Source organism: Homo sapiens, chromosome 12, assembly GCF_000001405.40.
Source record: "Homo sapiens chromosome 12, GRCh38.p14 Primary Assembly".
Lineage (NCBI taxonomy): Eukaryota > Metazoa > Chordata > Mammalia > Primates > Hominidae > Homo > Homo sapiens.
The window spans coordinates 85,314,904-85,336,242 of NC_000012.12; the positions used below are offsets into that span (position 1 = coordinate 85,314,904).

General features: G+C 36.2%; 1 long non-coding RNA gene across 2 annotated transcripts in view, besides 4 other annotated features; it reads left to right on the plus strand.

The window, feature by feature from the left end:
* Positions 2,636-3,238: an enhancer, noted in NCBI's record as "H3K27ac-H3K4me1 hESC enhancer chr12:85711317-85711919 (GRCh37/hg19 assembly coordinates)". NCBI's record gives its function as "activates a minimal SCP1, AML or CMV promoter by ChIP-STARR-seq in primed H9 embryonic stem cells {active_cell/tissue: H9 hESC(primed)}" and the evidence as "EXISTENCE:reporter gene assay evidence [ECO:0000049][PMID:30033119]".
* Positions 2,636-3,840: a biological region, named in NCBI's record as "H3K27ac-H3K4me1 hESC enhancers GRCh37_chr12:85711317-85711919 and GRCh37_chr12:85711920-85712521".
* Positions 2,968-3,262: an enhancer, noted in NCBI's record as "tiled region #9199; HepG2 Activating non-DNase unmatched - State 24:Quies, and K562 Activating non-DNase unmatched - State 9:DNaseU". NCBI's record gives its function as "activates a minimal TATA promoter and a strong SV40 promoter by Sharpr-MPRA in HepG2 and K562 cells {active_cell/tissue: HepG2 | K562}" and the evidence as "EXISTENCE:reporter gene assay evidence [ECO:0000049][PMID:27701403]".
* The window catches only part of LINC02820 (long intergenic non-protein coding RNA 2820), a 172,109-nt gene continuing 153,885 nt past the window's right edge, over positions 3,116-21,339 (plus strand). For both annotated transcript variants that reach the window (NR_183553.1, NR_183554.1), the window contains exon 1: positions 3,116-3,212. This is a non-coding gene — a long non-coding RNA (long intergenic non-protein coding RNA 2820). The remainder of the gene's footprint in view (positions 3,213-21,339) is intronic.
* Positions 3,239-3,840: an enhancer, noted in NCBI's record as "H3K27ac-H3K4me1 hESC enhancer chr12:85711920-85712521 (GRCh37/hg19 assembly coordinates)". NCBI's record gives its function as "activates a minimal SCP1, AML or CMV promoter by ChIP-STARR-seq in naive and primed H9 embryonic stem cells {active_cell/tissue: H9 hESC(naive and primed)}" and the evidence as "EXISTENCE:reporter gene assay evidence [ECO:0000049][PMID:30033119]".

Below are 21,339 nucleotides of genomic sequence, written 5' to 3' on the forward strand. Positions count from 1 at the left end.
GTGTCTCTGCTGGGCTTTGGTATCAGAATGATGCTGGCCTCATAAAATGAGTTAGGGAGGATTCCCTCTTTTTCTATTGATTGGAATAGTTTCAGAAGGAATGGTACCAGTTCCTCCTTGTACCTCTGGTAGAATTCGGCTGTGAATCCATCTGGTCCTGGACTCTTTTTGGTTGGTAAGCTATTGATTATTGCCACAATTTCAGATCCTGTTATTGGTCTATTCAGAGATTCAACTTCTTCCTGGTTTAGTCTTGGGAGAGTGTATGTGTCGAGGAATTTATCCATTTCTTCTAGATTTTCTAGTTTATTTGTGTAGACGTGTTTGTAATATTCTCTGATGGTAGTTTGTATTTCTGTGGGATCGGTGGTGATATCCCCTTTATCATTTTTTATTGCGTCTATTTGATTCTTCTCTCTTTTTTTCTTTATTAGTCTTGCTAGCAGTCTATCAATTTTGTTGATCCTTTCAAAAAACCAGCTCCTGGATTCATTAGTTTTTTGAAGGGTTTTTTGTGTCTCTATTTCCTTCAGTTCTGCTCTGATTTTAGTTATTTCTTGCCTTCTGCTAGCTTTTGAATGTGTTTGCTCTTGCTTTTCTAGTTCTTTTAATTGTGATGTTAGGGTGTCAATTTTGGATCTTTCCTGCTTTCTCTTGTGGGCATTTAGTGCTATAAATTTCCCTCTACACACTGCTTTGAATGCATCCCAGAGATTCTGGTATGTTGTGTCTTTGTTCTCGTTGGTTTCAAAGAACATCTTTATTTCTGCCTTCATTTCGTTATGTACCCAGTAGTCATTCAGGAGCAGGTTGTTCAGTTTCCATGTAGTTGAGCGGTTTTGAGTGAGATTCTTAATCCTGAGTTCTAGTTTGATTGCACTGTGGTCTGAGAGATAGTTTGTTATAATTTCTGTTCTTTTACATTTGCTGAGGAGAGCTTTACTTCCAAGTATGTGGTCAATTTTGGAATAGGTGTGGTGTGGTGCTGAAAAAAATGTATATTCTGTTGATTTGGGGTGGAGAGTTCTGTAGATGTCTATTAGGTCCGCTTGGTGCAGAGCTGAGTTCAATTCCTGGGTATCCTTGTTGACTTTCTGTCTCGTTGATCTGTCTAATGTTGACAGTGGGGTGTTAAAGTCTCCCATTATTAATGTGTGGGAGTCTAAGTCTCTTTGTAGGTCACTCAGGACTTGCTTTATGAATCTGGGTGCTCCTGTATTGGGTGCATATATATTTAGGCTAGTTAGCTCTTCTTGTTGAATTGATCCCTTTACCATTATGTAATGGCCTTCTTTGTCTCTTTTGATCTTTGTTGGTTTAAAGTCTGTTTTATCAGAGACTAGGATTGCAACCCCTGCCTTTTTTTGTTTTCCATTTGCTTGGTAGATCTTTCTCCATCCTTTTATTTTGAGCCTATGTGTGTCTCTGCACGTGAGATGGGTTTCCTGAATACAGCACAGTGATGTGGCTTGACTCTTTATCCAATTGGCCAGCCTGTGTCTTTTAATTGGAGCATTTAGTCCATTTACATTTAAAGTTAATATTGTTATGTGTGAATTTGATCCTGTCATTATGATGTTAGCTGGTTATTTTGCTCGTTAGTTGATGCAGTTTCTTCCTAGTCTCGATGGTCTTTACATTTTGGCATGATTTTGCAGCGGCTGGTACTGGTTGTTCCTTTCCATGTTTAGCGCTTCCTTCAGGAGCTCTTTTAGGGCAGGCCTGGTGGTGACAAAATCTCTCAGCATTTGCTTGTCTGTAAAGTATTTTATTTCTCCTTCACTTATGAAGCTTAGTTTGGCTGGATACGAAATTCTGGGTTGAAAATTCTTTTCTTTAAGAATGTTGAATATTGGCCCCCACTCTCTTCTGGCTTGTAGGGTTTCTGCCGAGAGATCCACTGTTAGTCTGATGGGCTTCCCTTTGAGGGTAACCCGACCTTTCTCTCTGGCTGCCCTTAACATTTTTTCCTTCATTTCAACTTTGGTGAATCTGACAATTATGTGTCTTGGAGTTGCTCTTCTCGAGGAGTATCTTTGTGGCATTCTCTGTATTTCCTGAATCTGAACATTGGCCTGCCTTGCTACACTGGGGAAATTCTCTTGGATAATATCCTGTAGAGTGTTTTCCAACTTGGTTCCATTCTCCCCATCACTTTCAGGTACACCAATCAGATGTAGATTTGGTCTTTTCACATAGTCCCATATTTCTTGGAGGCTTTGCTCATTTCTTTTTATTCTTTTTTCTCTAAACTTCCCTTCTCGCTTCATTTCATTCATTTCATCTTCCATTGCTGATACCCTTTCTTCCAGTTGATCGCATCGGCTCCTGAGGCTTCTGCATTCTTCACATAGTTCTCGAGCCTTGGTTTTCAGCTCCATCAGCTCCTTTAAGCACTTCTCTGTATTGGTTATTCTAGTTATACATTCTTCTAAATTTTTTTCAAAGTTTTCAACTTCTTTGCCTTTGGTTTGAATGTCCTCCCATAGCTCAGAGTAATTTGATCGTCTGAAGCCTTCTTCTCTCAGCTCGTCAAAGTCATTCTCCATCCAGCTTTGTTCCGTTGCTGGTGAGGAACTGCATTCCTTTGGAGGAGGAGAGGCGCTCTGCGTTTTAGAGTTTCCAGTTTTTCTGTTCTGTTTTTTCCCCATCTTTGTGGTTTTATCTACTTTTGGTCTTTGATGATGGTGATGTACAGATGGGTTTTTGGTGTGGATGTCCTTTCTGTTTGTTAGTTTTCCTTCTAACAGACAGGACCGTCAGCTGCAGGTCTGTTGTAATACCCTGCCGTGTGAGGTGTCAGTGTGCCCCTGCTGGGGGGTGCCTCCCAATTAGGCTGCTCGGGGGTCAGGGGTCAGGGACCCACTTGAGGAGGCAGTCTGCCCATTCTCAGATCTCCAGCTGCGTGCTGGGAGAACCACTGCTCTCTTCAAAGCTGTCAGACAGGGACATTTAAGTCTGCAGAGGTTACTGTTGTCTTTTTGTTTGTCTATGCCCTGCCCCCAGAGGTGGAGCCTACAGAGGCAGGCAGTCCTCCTTGAGCTGTGGTGGGCTCCACCCAGTTCGAGCTTCCCGGCTGCTTTGTTTACCTAATCAAGCCTGGGCAATGGCGGGCGCCCCTCCCCCAGCCTGTCTTCCGCCTTGCAGTTTGATCTCAGACTGCTGTGCTAGCAATCAGCGAGACTCCGTGGGCGTAGGACCCTCCGAGCCAGGTGCGTGATATAATCTCGTGGTGCGCCGTTTTTTAAGCCCTTCGGAAAAGCGCAGTATTCGGGTGGGAGTGACCCGATTTTCCAGGTGCCGTCCGTCACCCCTTTCTTTGACTTGGAAAGGGAACTCCCTGACCCCTTGCGCTTCCCAAGTGAGGCAATGCCTCGCCCTGCTTCGGCTCGCTCAGGGTGCGCGCACCCACTGACCTGCGCCCACTGTCTGGCACTCCCTAGTGAGATGAACCCGGTACCTCAGATGGAAATGCAGAAATCACCCGTCTTATGCGTCCCTCACGCTGGGAGCTGTAGACAGGAGCTGTTCCTATTCGGCCATCTTGGCTCCTCTCTTCGCTTTTTATTTCTTTCTCTTGACAAAGTTTCTCACAGAACAGAAGTTTTTAATTTTAATGAAGTCTAACTCACTAATTTTTTGTTTTATGGATCGGGCTTTTGGTATTGTATCTAAAAAGTTGTTGCCAAACATAAGGTCACCTAGATTTTCTCCTATATTATTTCTTAAGAGTTTTATAGTTTTATGATTTACACTTAAGTCTTTAATACCTTTTGAGCTAATTTTTGTGAAAAGTATAAGGACTATGCCTAGATTCATTTTTTTTCTTTTGTATGTGGATGTCCAGTTGTTGAAAAAAAAGTATTTTATTGAAAAAGTATCATTTCTCCCTTGAATCATCTTAGCTCCTTTGTCAAAGATCAGTTGACTATATTTGTGTGAGTCCATTCTTGGGCTACTGCTTTTCATTTCTCTGTTATTCCTCTATTATTTCTTCTGTAATACAAACTTGAGTGTCATTTTTTTTAAAATTCCTGTCTCTTCTCCCTCATAGGCATCAGCTATCAAAACTTATGGTAAGTATTTTTAACGTATTATTTATTTTATTACTACAACAATCCTCTGTATTATTAGGCCCATATTAAGTGAGAAACGGCTCAGAGAGGGAGTCTGCTTATATAGACTGAAACAACTGTATTCTTCACTTATTTGGGAAATTACCACACACATCTCATAAGTGGCAGAGCAGTTTGACTTCGGGATCTGAACTTCCAAGCATTACTGTAATTTCTAAATCTATTTTGTCATTAATTCGCTTCACCTGTATTGCCATCATATTAATTCAAGCCACTATCATCCCACAGTAAATTTACTAACAACACTCAGTGTCTTCCTTCTTTCCTTCCTTCTTTTCCTTCCTTCCTTCTTTCTTTTCTTTCTTTCTTTTCCTTCCCTCCTTCCTTCCTTCCTTCCCTCCTTACTTATTTTCTTTCTTTCTCCTTTCTTCTTTCCTCCCCCTTCTTCTCCTCTTCCTCCTCCTCCTCCTTCCCTCTTCCTTCTTCCTTCTTTCCCCTTCCCCCTCTCCTCCCTTCCTCTCCCCCCTACATTCCCCTCCCCTCCCCCTCCTCTTTGTCCTCCTCCTCCTCCTCTTTCTTATTCCTCTTCTTCCTCTCCCTCTCCCTCTCCTTCTTCTTTTTCTTCTCCTTTTTCTCAGAGGTGAAGTTTTGCTATATTGCCCAGAGTGATCTTGAACTCTCAGGCTCAAGTGATCCTCCTGCCTCAGCCTCCCAAAGTGTTGAGATTACAGGCACAAGTCACTGCACCTGGCCCACTCAGGATGATTCTTGAGTCTGGTCCCACTCCAGATGGTTTTCTTCTAAATCACAAATCTGATAGCACTAAACACAAAACTACCTAATGGCTCTCCAACATCTCTAAAGAAAGCAGACAATCCAAAATATGATTACATACCTTCTCCTCATCCAAATCTCTAATCCTACTACACTGACCTACATGTACTTCTCTTCAGGCACTGTGTCTGTGCTTAAATATTCACCTTGTACAGGTGAGTCCATTTGCCTCTATTGGTCTTTTCTGTCTTTTCATTTGGCTAATGCTTTGTTTTCCTTCAGATTGAAACTTAAAGGTTGTATTCAAGTAGTGTTGTCAAATTTAGCAAATGGAAATACAAGACACCTAGCAACAGATATTGCATGGGACATAATTATATTAAGAAATTACTCATTGTTTATATGAAAATCAAATGTTATTGGACATTCTCTATTTTCTCTGGCAATGCTATGTCCTAGGGATATCTTCCCTGAAACCATACCCTATGATTTGGCTAAACACTCCTCTGATTTGCTCCTGTAGCATCCTATGTTTACTCTATCACAACACTCATTTCTTATCTATTATTTGTATAATACATCCATCTCTGTCATCATCCTTAAGGACAAAGAATCTATCTTTTTCAGCAGCATGTTTCCAGCATCTAAATATCCAATGCTTGGTGCCCAATAAATATTTATTTGGTATTTTTAAATGAATGAATGAATTAAACAACTTTAATTCAAATCCTTAAGCCATTTTAGGATGTATTATGAATATCAAGATGTAGTTTACACCTATTTTGATGTGTTTAAAATTAAATTAGAAATTTTAGTTTAGAATTTTTGAAATGATATCAATCATTTTCAAGTAATTCCTGGCAAGCCTTATGTCTTAGGTCATTAAGGCTGTAACAAAATACCATGAACCAGGTGGCTTACAAACAACAGAAATTTATTTTTACAGTCTGGAGGCTGGGAAGTCCAAGATCAAGGCACTAGCAAGATAGATTTGGTCACTGATAGATGATGCCTTCTCACTGTGTCCTCGTATGGGTAAAGGAAAAAACTCTGGTCTCACAGGTTCATTATAGGCCACTAATCTCATTCATGAGGGCTTCACCCTAATGACCTAAACACCTTCAAAGGTCCCTCCTCTTAATATCTTCAAAATGGGTATTAAGTTTCAACATATGATTTTTGAGGGGACACAAACATTCAGACTATAGCAATTTAGCTTCCCTAAGCACAAAGGCATACGAAGTTGAACCCTAGGCTGCTAAATTTGTAACTTACTGAAATTGCAGCCAAAGATTGGGTTCCCTCTGCCTTCCAGAGGTTGGAAATAACAGATGACATGCTAAATATTGCCCACTTACCCAATCCATAGGGAGAAAATATTGATTTTTCTATATTTGTCATCTAGATCAATATTTTCCTCCACAACATGTGTCAAAGATGTTTCATTGTTCAGGTTGATAACAGGTGTTCTTCAAAAGCAAAAATATTATAAGTTTTTTTACCTGCTGGGTAAAACAAGCCTAAACCAATTTCCATCCTCTAGGAATTTTCAGAACCATTAACATATCAATTTATGTAGTGAATTTCCAAAAGGTGTTGTATAAAATAGGTGATTTTTCTAATCTAAACAGAACAGAGTAGTTTTGTTAGGTAATAACCAATTTGGGAAATAATTATATAGATTTCGTTGTAGGGTAAATGTGTATGTCTACTTGATTTTTGTTGTTAAAAACAAGTTTTTGGAATGCCTGATTCAGATATGGGATTGCATAATTTGTGTAATACACCTAGCTTTCTGGGGTCACGTTCATCTGTTTTGAAGTAGAGCACCGAAAATTTTCCAAAATAAATGTTCTTGGGATTTAGTATATGTAAAAGAAAGTTTGTATTTCATACAGAAATCTGTAAGCCCATAAAGAGATATGTAAAGTTCTTGAGTAGTTATATATAATTTGGATTGCTGAGCATTAAGTATGTTGGATTTTAAAACAAGAACTTCAAAGGTAAAATATAATTCTCACTAATGAAAAGCACATGTGGTATGGCTAAATCCCCCAGCCCCCACCCCCATAAGCAACAGTCAGGGCAGGCCTGATGTATGATCAGAGTACACGGCCACCTGTGAACTGAAGTTTGAAGGACCTGATCTACCTAGCTGCCTTCCAAATCATGCTTACTTCCATCAGTGGAATAAGGTTGAGTGTCACCAGAAGAGTTAATATGTATAGTGTTGCCTGTGAAAGATGGCACATCAAGTTATTACTGCCTATTAACCTAGAAGTTAGTATAGGTTTATTATCATTATTGTTACATGCCACGGCACTAATATTTAATAATAATAGGTACCATTTCACTCAACCACATAAGCCAGTTGTTTTATATGGTAGTGACAGTAGGTAACATTTTTGACCACTTAGTGTGCTACACATAATGCTAAGTTTTTTACTTACATTATTACATTTAATTATTTCAATACCTTCTTGAAGTCAATTTCACTTTTATATCCATTTTATAGATGATGATGCTTAAGGCTTTGAAAACTTAAGTGTTTTACTCAAGAGGTATAGTAAGTGGCTGAGATGGTCTTTAAAATGATCTTTATATGATCTGTGAGCCTGCATTCTTGAAGCTCTATGCTTTAAGAATAATTATAATTCCCCAATTTGGATAGATGCTGAAGTATTCGTATGGACCTTAATCATGGAAACAACTGATGCTCATAAAAGTCTACATACTTTGTCCAGGGTCTTGAGGGAACAGATACATAGTTTCACTGCAAGAAAATAAAAATAAATTATGTAAAACTACCTATGCCAGCAGTAGCACCAAATATGAGATTCAGGGCAAGAAGAACATATAGTTTGGCAATACGGAGATGAGGTGAAGGGAGAGAACAAAAAATAAAGTAGGATAAACCCCAAAGACCAAATTGGCCTTTGCAACAATTCCATTTCAGACTTTAAGGAAACACTCTGGCTATTAAATCTTACTTAATGTTCTCTATGTAATTTATAAACTGTCTAAAAAATAAAATAGGTTTGAATAAAAAATAATGTTTTCATTCCTAAAAGCATTAGGAAATAGACCACTTGAGGTCAGGGTAACACCAAAAAGAATTTCCCAGCACTAAAACAAACCACATTGCAAACTCTTCCTAAGTGCTTAGCAACGTTCTGAAATGGCTCCATTTATGTGAGGCTTGAGAAAGGAAAGAGGCCTCTTGTGAACTTTTCAACCACAGAGAGGAGTGTTCTCTAAAAAGATATATTCAGAGTGCTATAACAAGTGCTACATATAAGTTGGTGAATCGCCTTATTTAAAAACAAGTGCCAATAAAAGATATTCTTCCTGTTGACAATAAAAATAATTCAATTTTCAGAAATTAAGTTTCTGCAAGTCATAATAACTGTTTTGTGTTTAATGTTCTTTATGTTCTGTAGCTATTTTTGATTTCTTATATCTGTTTTTAATTACTATCTCATTGAATATCTCATGATTGTTTTTGCAACATCTTTTTGAATGACTGAGTAATGTAGATAGATATTAATAAAAAATTGACATTGAGTGATATCTGACACACTGCTGCTAAGAGGATCTGGAATATAGAAAATAAGAATTTGTCATGGTGGTTGTTTGATTTCAAATATTTCCTTTCTAGCAAACTTCCCCAGGAGAAAATATTAATTCCCACTTTCACAGCCCAAATAGAGGTGAGATTACAAATAATCCTTGATGTATTACAACTACAAAAGTTAATATACCATTTTTTTTATCCTGCTAAGTACTAATCACTTTAGAAAGCACTCTGTGAGACACCTATTATTATTATCCCATTGATAGATAAGGAAACTAAATTTTAGAGAGGTTAAGTAATTCATCCAAAGTCACACAGTTAGTCAGTGGTAGAGCCAGGATTTAAATTCTGGCAATTTAACTTCAATTCCAACAGTTAACAGTTGTAATGTTATGGTCTAGATGGTCTCCTGTGGAAAGAGCATTGTTGGAAACCCAGTTCTGACACTGCCATGACCTTCGTTTCTCTGTGTCTTGGATTCCCCATCTGAATAACGAGGAAATCTCTAACTGAGCCCTGAGATCTATCAGATGCCTAACGTTCTATGACTGTCTCTAATTGTTACAGCAAAACCTTAGAGAAATGACTACTTGTGCAGTATCCAAAATGGATTATATTATAAATGGAAAAACTAGAGAAAAAGAATGATTATTTATAAAAGGGGAAATTAAAATCATACGTATTAATAACTCATGAAATACAGTGAATTCATTTAGTGTTCTGGTGCATATGAAAAAATCGCTTTTACAGATGCCTTTGGCGATTGCATTCCTAGACCTTGGACCTTAAACCTGGAAAATATTTTTTGTTTGTTTGTATGTTTTATGTATTTGAATTTAAACAGCTGGTATAGAGTGCTCTTTTTCTTATATTCCTAAGTATGGTAAGTTAGAAAAATTTTGCCAAGGACCCTTCAATTCCCTTTGTCTAAAATATGCTTGTCTGACTTTCTTGGGTGTGACCAAAGGTCTTTAGTCTTATTTTCAAGTGAAGTTGAAGGTCCTATTTTCAAGTGAACTTTTCCCTTTGTAACTCCATCTTCCATTTTTATTAACCAGTCAAGCATGTTTTACTTTACACTGTGATAAGAGGATCAGAAACAGCTTCCCCACATCTAAGGCGATCTTAATCAATTGCAAGGAATACATGAGTGGCATAGTGTGGAAGCTTCCTGCCTAGAGGAAGAAGAGAGCTCCTCTGGATTATTACTTTTGATTCCACTGATAAAGGAAGAAAATTAGGTAACCTTGAAAATGAGTACTTTTGCCTGTGAACCATTTTGAAGGGACATGAGGTAAATTGTTACCCCCCTGTCGACCCTCAACTAACCTTTCACTTTTAACATATGTTTTTTGAAGTGCCGGCCCTGTTGATTTGCATGGCTGTTTGGGTACAAGTTTCAGAGAAACCTGCTGCCCCCAAGTCTTTCATCACTTTTTTGAACTTTGAGTATAAACATTAAAATGCCCTTATGGCTCACAGAAGACTGGGTGACTGGCATTGACTAAGAGATATTCTCTAGTAACACACCCTTAGTAACCCCAAGGTGTGTTACTTAGCCCCTCACTCAGCAACCTAACTATGAGGTCTAGTTACCCAGGATGGAAAATAACTACTATAAGCTCATTGTGCTTGCAGGGATGAAGTGGTGATTGTATCATAGAATCTCTGGAATATCCTGAATTTTTCTTTGTGGCCCACTGGGTTCTGAGGCATTTTCCAGGTTATTTCAGTGTGAATCAAGCTACTGTATCCTAATACTTCTGTCTCTCAATGTCAAAGGATGTGATCAATAAAAGAAGAAATATATAGTTAATGTGATAAGATACTGACAAAGCAAAAAAAGAAAGCAAAGAAAGTATCAAGTGTTTGCTTTTTTGGCAAAGGCTGTTTCACTGTAGTGTAATCTAAAGGAATAAATATGCAAAAGGCTGTTTCGCTATAATGTAATCTAAAAGAATAAATATGCAGTTAATCATAAGTACACATAATATGGTCCTCAAAGGAAGAGAAATGCAAGGGTTAAACACATTAAATTATCTTTCTTTCTCCTTTGGTGCCTGTTAAATAACTTTAACTCTTTCTTTTATTGTCCTTAATACCAATGCTCCCACCTCTGAAAAACCCACCACTTTTTTTTTCTTTCTTTCTTTCTTTTTTTTTTTTCCTAGAAGGAATAAGGTCAAATTAATGGAATGAAAATATGAAAATCAGTTCTCACTAATGTCCAGGGTAGAGGCTGGCAACGTTCCAGAAATGCTTTTCCAAAATACTGGTTTCAAGTTTTCATTGTGGCGGAGGGAGGGAGAGAGGGGATTTTGGAACACTGAGAACCCCTGGGGATTATTGCTGGCTCAGACACCTCATTACAGAGCTTTAGAGGCAAAGTGACAGGAGAGCCTTGGAGGCCAGGGAGATCCTGGAGAAAGACTTCATGAAAGTAGGAGTGTAGAAAAATAAATAAATAAATAAAGTAGAAAAATAATGTCTTTCATTTGTGATATTAGTAGTGATAATCCTATTAATTAAATATGCTGATAGGTTTAACAAACTCAGTGCTGTGTGAAATGTATATATTTTTTGCTCCTCTCTGAATTTCTAATGGGTAGCCATACATTACCCAATAAATTGCATATAGCAAATACTCAATAAAAATCTGCTGAATTAATTTAAGTTAAACGTCATCTATAGGCAACGTTGTTATTTATCAAATCCGAATATCTACTTTGTGTCGAGCCCTGTGCTAAGTATTGCAAAGGATAATGGAATACATTTTTGAGACATAGATCCTGCCATCAAGGGGTTTATAGTTTAACTATGATCATAACAAAAGTTTGAAAGCCAGTCTGATGTGATGTCAGTTGCCGTAAGTTGACCTTGAGTGCATGAAAAAAATAAATCGTGCCACGTCCAAAGCATTTTATATTGAACTGTCTTTCTTTCTTTTCTATTTTTCTTTTTCGTTTTCTTTTTTTTTTTTTTTTTTTTTTTTTTTTTGAGACGGAGTTTCGCTCTTGTCACCCAGGCTGGAGTGCAATGGCTTGATCTTCGCCCACTGCAACCTCAGCCTCCTGGGTTCAAGTGATTCTCCTGCCACAGCCTCCCGAGTAGCTGGAATTGCAGGCGCCTGCCACCACACCCAGTTAATTTTTGTATTTTTAGTAGAGACGGGGTTTTGCCATGTTGGCAAGGCTTTTCTCAAACTCCTGGCCTCAAGTTATATTGAACTTTCAATTGGGAGGATAGATAACCTTCAGCCTTTTAAAAAACTCATGTAGCTACAAAGAAATTGAAGTTTCACTATTTTATGAATATATGTATATCAATACCTTTTATAATAATTCTCTCAAGACCCTAATTATTTTACTATACAATAGCAGCTATTTAAAAATATTTCTCAATGTAACATGTATGTACACATATATATGTGTACGTATATTTGTGTGTGATTGTATGTGTGCAAGTTAAACACATGTGGAGGGAAGGAGAGTAAGAGTGAACTTGTACCGAACATATGTTTCATGAGTTAATGAATAACATTAGTTTGAGGAAAAAGCTGTTTCTAAATATTTCATGGAAACCAACATAAATAGGAAAATTTCTCCGCATTGGAATAAAAATGTCATCTATTCACCATGTCTGCATGGATTACTGCAACTCTGCCTTTATCTATCATGATCCATAACCTATCTCCAAAAAGAGTGTAAAGCTGACGTCGGATTGAGTCACTTCTCTGCTTAAATCTCTTCAGTGTCTTCAGTTGCTTTAGATCAAAGTCAAAACCCAGTATCATGGTTAACAATGCCTACCGTAATCTGGCATTTGCTAACCTCTCCAGCCTTTCTTGCTGGATGCTCCAGTCCAGTGGCTGAATGTTGTTCCATTCCTGGATGCCCTATACCCTTTGTTTGATCTTTTAAGTTTTCCTATCTCTTACCTTTGCCAAGAAAAAATCTTCTCTCGCTCTTTCTAATGGTCTTCCTTTCCTTTGGTTCTAACTTAAAAGTCACTTATTTCTGACACTTTGCTGACATTGACTTAGTTGGTCTGCTCAGTGCTTTCTTAGTACCTTCTTTTTCCTGGGTTACAACAATTGTCATACTTTATTATGATTGTTACTGTAAGTATGTCTCCTCACTACACTGGCATCCTCCATGAACATAGGGATAATGTCTATTTTGTTCACAGCATGTGAAACATAGAATAAATGCAATATTTATAGAATTCATTCATTCATTCAAGAAGTATATATTCATTGATGCTAGGCAGTGTTCTAGGTACTTGGAATATAGCAGTGAACAATACAGACAAAATTATCTGGTCCCATGGGTTTATATTCTAAAGAAATAAGGGGAATCATAGTTTGTTAGAAATGATAAATGCTAAATCAAAAAAACAAAAAGGGAGGGGCAGGTAAGAAATTGCTGTGGTGAAAGGGGGTTATACTTATAATTGAGATGGATTAAGAAGGGCCTTATTGAAAAGGTGACTTGAAGGAGCTGCAATAGAGTCAAGGGGATATGGGGCAGAAGAGCCCTGCAGGCAGAGATACAGAGGTAAGGCCCTGAGGCAGGATTGTCCCTATTGTGTGAAAGGGAAAATGTTAAGAGATCAGACAGGTAATGGGAACCAGATCACTAAGATACTTGCCAGCTATTCAATTATCCTATTTCTTCTTAAAGTTTCATCTGCTAATTTTAGTATTTATTCATGGCTCTTGCCTACACTAATAATTACTATAGTGTGTTCTAATGGTGATTTTCCATTTCCTTTATTTTTTCTATATTATTTGAAATTCTCCTGTAAAGAAGATTTTCCTTTTCTCCCATTTATTTATTTGTCCATTCAACCATTTATTTATACCCATGTGTCCTCATAGATATTTGTTTTTATTATTTGGGTTATAATTCAATGCCCTAATTATTTATTGCATTTGTCAAATTGTTTCAGATTTTGCTATTGGGAAATTCTTTCTGATTGGCTCCTGCCTCCTTTTGATACACTCTGGTCTTGTTTTTATTGAGCCCTTCCTTACTCTCAGGCACTGCAAGATGCTCCAGGATCATCTTGTATGTTCCCCGCCCCAGTCATGTATATTAACCTATGTATACACACATATCTATATCCAATTATGTCTGTCTGTTTGTATGTCTGTCTGTATATAAATACATACATTCAGGTAATATCTGTGATTCTAGTCCAGCACCACAGAGTTTAATTCTAGTTTTCTGTCTTGCTTATTTATGACTTCTTTCTCTTACAGCAAGAAACCTAGCTCCCATTATCTATAATTTATTGACTCATTTGTTCAACCTAGTATGCAGGCAAAGTAGTTTAAGGATTGTTGATCTGTACCCAGGATCTTGGCTTTAATGTAAGAAGAAGGATTATTTCTGTTTTATGATCATCTTTAGAATTATTCTCTGGTACATGCTGGACATTAGTCTATTGTTGATAATACTAATAAATAATGGAATCAGTCAATACAACTCACATTTTATCATGTTGTGCAATAGTTAGATATCAGGAAGCTCTGACTGGTGTCCTTCATGTCAGTTTAATAGCAAAGAATGTGAGCCTTGAGTCAAAGAAATGGCTTGAAAATGTTGCCATGTAAACGTAAGAAATGAGTATCTTACAGCATACATGTTGGTACTCGAGTGGAGACATCTCTGCCTAATTTCATATCACTAGAGTGGCTGAACCATAGATGTATTGACTGTTGTGCTAATTTACCTTATGATTAAGTGTTTGTCACTGCTCCATTATTTTGCATGCATTGATACAGATTCTTTTCAGATATTTTGCAAAATGAAGAAAACCTGAAGTTAAGGTAGTTAATTTAAGACATTTAAATTAAGACAGTTTAAACAATTAACTTTTAATAGTAATTCTCTCTCTGTCTCTCTTCCTCTTTGACACATAGTTTCGCTCTGTTGCCCAGTCCGGGCTGGAATGCAGTAGCACAATTACAGCTCACTGCAGCCTTGAACCCCTGGGCTCGAGACATCCTTTCACCTCAGTCTCCTGAGTAGCTGGGACTACAGGCACACACCACCATGCACAGCTACTGTTTAAATTGTTTGAAGAGATGGGGTCTCCCTGTATTGCTCAGGCTGGTCTTGAATTCCTGGGCTCAAGTGATCCTCATATCTCAAACTCCCAAAGTGCAGGGATTACAGGTGTGAGCCACAGTGCCCAACCCCATTTCGTCTTTTTAAGGTAAATGAGTTCTGCACATTTTAAGAGATGTGAAAGATAACAAAGCAGTTAGTATTCCATACCTGAACTGCTCAGTTGAAATTTAGGTGTGCTAACATGAACTCTACCAGTTCAAAAGCAAGAAGAGCTGAGCTGTTTGTAAATTAGTCTGTATCTTTTCAGTGCTGTCTAAAGCTACATAAATATTGTCCTTTGAAAAGTGTTTCAAACGATGTAAAACTTGATATTTTACCTGGTTATGCAATAGATTAGCTCATAAAATAGAAAATAGTATTTGAAAATAATGACATATTATAATTTAATGACATGTCAAGTGAATCATTTCATCAAAATAATAAAGAGAAAGGTAAAAAAATCCTTCTGAAAATCAGTTATGAACACAGTAGAATGCTTTAGGGTACTGTGCTGAACAAATAGAAGTAATACAGAAGCGATTCAACAGGAGTGAAATGGCTTGGTAAATACTATTCACTAGCTGGTTCAAATGACAGTTATCGTTCATTGTTTGTCATTGTAAACTGAAAGAAAGCAGGAACAAGATAAAATAGCTGACCTCAGTTTATTTTAATTAACATTTTTGTATGGTTCATTTTTGTCCAAGACATACATGTGCATTTTCAGTGCACAAATGCAACAACAATTTTAAAATGCTTAATATGTAGAATCTGTATCACCAGAGACTTAACTAAACAGACATAAATAAGCTGAAATTTTTCCTACAATCAAAGAGAGCATTTTAGTGTATGAGTTATGTTGCCTGTAAGCCTAAGTTTGCTTGTTCTTTCTCCCTTGCCACAAACAGGACTTACAGAAGTCTCACCTTCCTCTTTCCTCAGTAGCTCCTATTTTCCTCCAGGGACCCATACTCACATTCTTCCTTCCTCCCTCCCTTTCTCCACCCCCTCTCTCTCTTCCTTTCCTCCATTTTATCAAATCTTGCCTTTCTTTTAGACTTTGGCTTTTTCTGCCACTGACTTGTCATCATTCCTTCTGTATTTACTTAACACTAATAATTCCATTAAAACTCATTATCCTATTTCTCCCTTTGCCTTCCTCTCCTCTTTTTCAGAGTTATTGCAGGGTAAAGAGAACAGTCTGATCATAAAGTGTGTTAACACAGTTACTTCTGTCACTTAATGTTTGTCACTGTGTCCTCTCTTCTCTTGTGTGAAGGGTACACACAGGCACACTGGTTCTTTACACACACAAACAAGTGTGATTGTTTTGTCTATGCCAGTCAAGTCAATCACAGGGTGAGCCCTTCTTTTTTCCTTCTGACTTGACTGATTGAGTCAGTCAAAGCATCAAACTGGTTTATGTGACTAGACAGCATCACTCTGTGTCTTGTTTGTTATGACATGCCATGGTTCCCTGACTTTTTTGTAAATTTTAAGTTACGACATTTTCTTTGAAATCTGCTGCTACTGTTTCTGGAGAAACATATCTGTGAAGTCTCCAGCTTTTCAACTCCCTCGTTGGAAGTCATCACTCTCTTGAATGCTTCCCCTACACTTTGATCATACCCCCATTACTTCATGCATTTTACTTAGCTGAACATGCAAATGTTCCCTCTTCTAGATTATACGTTCTTCAAAGAGTAATTTTTTGTATCTTCAGTATTTTCTAAATTTTCTTTTATTTAATGGGTGTCCAGGTACATATTCTATAAATCAGTGAATGATTGCACTGTAATTTTTAAAAGTAAAATTTTGAGTTAATTCTAAGCAAAGAGATTATAAATCTCATGATGGCAAAAAATATGAAACCTGATTTCAAAGGAAAATCACTACTACACTGTTAGTTCTTCTACTATATCAATATTATACTTAACAAAAATTGGGAAATAGTTCATCTTTGTCTATTCTCCTCCCTAACTTTATAGATTCATAGGGAAAAAATGGAAGAATTCTTGTGCTAATTTATGGAAAGGTTTTTTTAAACATTAAATTAAAGGCAATATATGTTTTCCATAGGCAAGTATGCTTTGAAGCTTTTACTTAGATTTAAGTTTATGTAACTTTTAATTGGTAACATGTGCTCTGGGGATGTCTATGTGTATGAATGTATACACAGTATACCTACAGAAGTAGATATAAAAATGATTCGAATCCCCCTTATCTGTTTATAGGTTTCCACTTTACAGCTTCTAAAATTTACTAAATTCATCTAAGTACTATACCTTTCTGACAAATAAAAACCATCTACAAAATAATGTATTTATGCATCTGTCTCTCAATATCACATCTACACATTTACAGGCAGAGGAAAGAAGAGAACAAGAAAAAAGAAGAGAATAAGGGGAGAGAAATATGTATGTGAGTAAATTCATTTCTAGAGTAGCATGTTTGTGTTTGTGCCTCTGGCAGTGGATCCATGAACACTGGAATATATGAGTAACCGCATCTATATCTTTATAACTCATTCTCTATGTATTCATATCATCTGTTGATTAAAAAATATTTTTACTTATATATGTTCTAATTTTACAAATTATCATTTTTAAAATGTTACCAAAAATAACACCTATTTAAAATTAGAATGCTAGTAATAATGATACAAATTACATAGATAATACAAGGTTTGAATTTTAGAGTTACAAATGTGGGTGTACTAACCAAAATGTAAATATGAGGAACTTTTTTCATTGCTAGTGCATTATAAAAGTTATTATTCATGGCTGTCTAAAACAGAGAATGAGGTATCAAATTGGGATGAGTATTTGATTATTTGACCAACCTAAGTTTTTATTCTTAGAACAGATTGGTCAATTTGCTTCCATAACTTAAACTGCCTAATTTTTTTAAATTTTCTTGCATAAAACATTTATTTAGTGTAATTATGTTTTTTAGTAACCTGGTTTTATATGTGAAAACAATAACCTTAAACCTGATTTGAAAAGCATAAAGAAACAAACATTTTTCCCAAACAAGATATCTGAAAGTTCAAAATAATTCAGATTTTTAAGAAAACTGGCTTGTTCAAGGGGTGATCTTCATGTCTCCTTTTAATTTTTAATTCTTATTAAGCTTTTTTCTTTTGTTAGTAGCTCTAAGCTATACTTGCTTATAAAGAACATCACCTAAAACTTTAGTGTCATCTGGCTAGATTTTAAAAAGTTGTGATTCCTAAATATATATAATCAAACAGCAAAATATTTGTTTCTGTGCTATGGTCAGTTGATTTATTGACCATATAAATATGTACATTTCAGTTTCAATAAATTAACTAGAAACTGTCAACATTGAGTATAGCATGTGGAAAGGTTTTGTTGTAAAGCACATAGAAGAAAGAATGTCTATTTAAACTGAAATATTTAGCCATTAGCCTGAAACATATTCATTGCCATAATTTTTATTCTGATAGCTTTTAAAATGCGAAATAGTAGATAGCATAAAAGTAAATCATCTTATATTTGTTTTCTGGGATTTTTTTAAGGCCAGAGAAGGCAATCTTAGTCTTAGGTTCATATTGGTGAATAACTTTTTAGCCATTTTTTTAAAAAACAAAAACCATTTCTAAAAACTTCAGGCAAATAAGTAACTCTTTGATAATAATTGGCCAATAAATTGGGTTAATTAACAGTTTTTTAAATTGAATTTGATAGTCTTCAAGCTTGTTTGTCAAAATAAAGATGGATTTAATTATAAGAAATTGTCCACAGACTGTGTCCTGTAATATTTATGAACTAACCATATATCAGCTTTTCTGAGTCTAATTTTCTCAGTCTAATTGTTGACTGTACACTCATTGTTTCTTCTGCGCCATTTACATATATAAATAGACACACTTACAGGGGCAGAAGAGAAAATATTAAATTTTTATTTCAACTTTTTAGTATTACTGGTGTGAAAAGGACACCGAAGAAAAGAATGAAACTGCATTCATTAAAAATGGGGATTAGGAATTTAAAAAATTATCTTCTTTAAAAATTAATCAGATAATGCACACTGTTCAAATTTAGCATTAAGGCCATGATGAACACATAGACATATGCAGTTTTTATTTGCATGAATGCTGTACGTGTAGCATTCTAATGCTTAATCACTCTGCTTCTCAGAAGTGACTTCTCTTACTACCTTGTGGTTTCCATTGAATTTTTCCCCTCTATATTCTCTCTTTCTCTCTTCCTGCATCCCCTTTCTTCTTCTTTCAAGGAGGGGGATTGGATAACAATGTTTTAGATAAAATGAGTGAGGTACATAATATAGAAGGAAAAAGTGAAAAGGTGAAGGGACGATAGGAGAGACAATTGCCTTAGGACACTGAAGGATAAGGCAAGTCTGCAGTGCATGATGTGCTATACATTTCTGTTTCATTTCCTCTGTCATTTTTTCCTTTCTTTAAGATCACTTGATTATATGTAGGTATGAAGTATAGGAGGACTCAGATTATTTCAAAGTACACACTTAGTTCAGAAATTTATCCATGAGTAGAGAATTTAGTATTTGGAAGATTAAAAGAAAGTCCAACTTGAAGAACATGACAGTGCTAATTAATATATGATCATCTAATCAATTATTATATCCAGCTGATTTGTCTACTTTCCTCCTTTTACAGGTCTCACTTATGAATATAGTGTAATCTGTTTCAATTCTTGTGTTTGGTATATTAATGGTGTGGGTATTTAGTTCAAGGCTTTCCACTACATAAACACTCTACAACCTGTAAAGGCATTTTTGTTCTAAAAATATGTTTGTAATTTAGTTGTTTGGAACTTAATAGACCTTGTTTCTCCAAGAGTTCACAATGTTAATAATGGTAGCTAAGATCTCAGTATAATTCCACAAAGGTGTGTTTAGCCTAACTCTGTATACTGGTTTGTCCCTTAGCACATATAAGAGACATTCCCCAAGAAAGAAATATATGCTTAACTTCGCAATCCCCGCCCCCCTCACCCCCAGCATAGGTGAAGCAGTTTTATTCCACTGTGTTCTGTAAGATGTATCCTTTCTCTCTTTTTCTCTCTGCTTACTTTCATCTTTATCTCTCCTCTTCCTCCAAAGATCACAGTTAGGTAACACCGACCAGCACTGGCCAGCACGTGAAAAGAACCTTCTCAATAATACAGAGTGATACCGTTTTATATCTGCCCGATTTCATTAGGCAGAGAGTGTCTGTCTAAAGTACCAAGGTGGAAAGGCACTAAGGCTGCTTCATTCTGCAAGTGACAGATTTTATTTCATGATGGAGATTCTAATTTTTCCTTGGGTTTTTTCAGGCAGCTAGTTGTTGTCTGTGTTACATCAAATAAGAAGGTATTTAGATTGTACCTGGCTATACAGAAAGACATTTTATTATATGTTGACAACAAACTTCAATATGCTGCTAAACTCTTGAGGAAATGTATACTGAGTCTACTCATAGGTTTATATATTAATGAAGGATTGGATTATAAATGACTATTCTTAGATTTTTTTTAAGTCAACATTCTAGAACTAAAAACATTTTCATCCTTTCCTGATGAATTTTATAATACTTGCAGAGGAATGATTCTCTGCTTCACGTCTCTGAGTTTCACTCAATTGTTTCCTCAATTTAGGTTTGGATATAATCCGTGTGCATTTAATATCACATCTCTAGATCTGGTCAAGGTTTCCCCTTAAATCTAAAGGAAATAGTTGAAAGGAAAAAGGCAGAATAAAATATCTTAGGAAGACTTAGACTTGGTCTGGCTATGTTTAGATTTCTTCCAAATTTTGGCTCAGTTTTAAGCTTTATTGGCAGTCTCATTCAGAACTGTGGCTTTATCCTCTTTTTTTCATTTGGCTAATATGATTTGTTAAAACATTCTCTGTTTATTTCTTCTTGCTTAACATTTTTCCACACGGCAGGCATAATGAATTTTTGTTTATGATGGGCCGTGCTGCCTGAATTATGGTATGGAATCTGGGTTTGGTTTCTTTGGAAAGATATTTTATTGCAATTTCAGGGGATTTATGTAGCTTCTGGTGTTCAATCTTAGACATGAGTTTCTCTGAAACTCGTTGCTTTAGGAGGAGTTATTTCTAAGGAAAACTAGGCAGCATCTGGTAATAAAAAACCACCACAATTTATTATAAATAGATTTACCAGATTTCTTGGTATAAGCATTATCATGTTCCCTACCAAATTATCTTTGTATCTGAATTATGCACAATTAAAGAGTGAAATGCATCTTTTTAACTCAAGATCCTCAAAGCTCATTAAAGTGCCACATGCACTGGGGTTTGTTGATGCTGATCAGCCACAGACAACACATGTTAAAATATACTCTTCCCCAAAAGAGCTAAGGAGATCATGTTTCCTTGTACAAGGAATACTGATACGGGCTGCATTCTGAATTGAAAGTACCTGGTTTGTAGCTAAGGAAATAATTCTACCCCTTGATCCTTTTTGTCAATTCAAATTGCATAAATTTCTAAAGAAACCAAACGGCAATTTCTAGGTTAATGTGAAAAGTTACCACCATATCATATAAACTGACTTGACTTAGAGCATTCTGAGAGAAGAATATTCATGAAATTAATCCACATACTCATTTATTTTTGAAATGCATACTGTATTTTAATGAACATATTTTTAATGTACTTTATGCATCAATTATTGTAGCACTTTTCTTGAGATTAAAAAACGGAGACAAACCCCCCAAAGCCTTTGTGTGAAATTATTTTTAGTTCATTTACTTGTGAGATGACCATCCAAATACCAGATTTC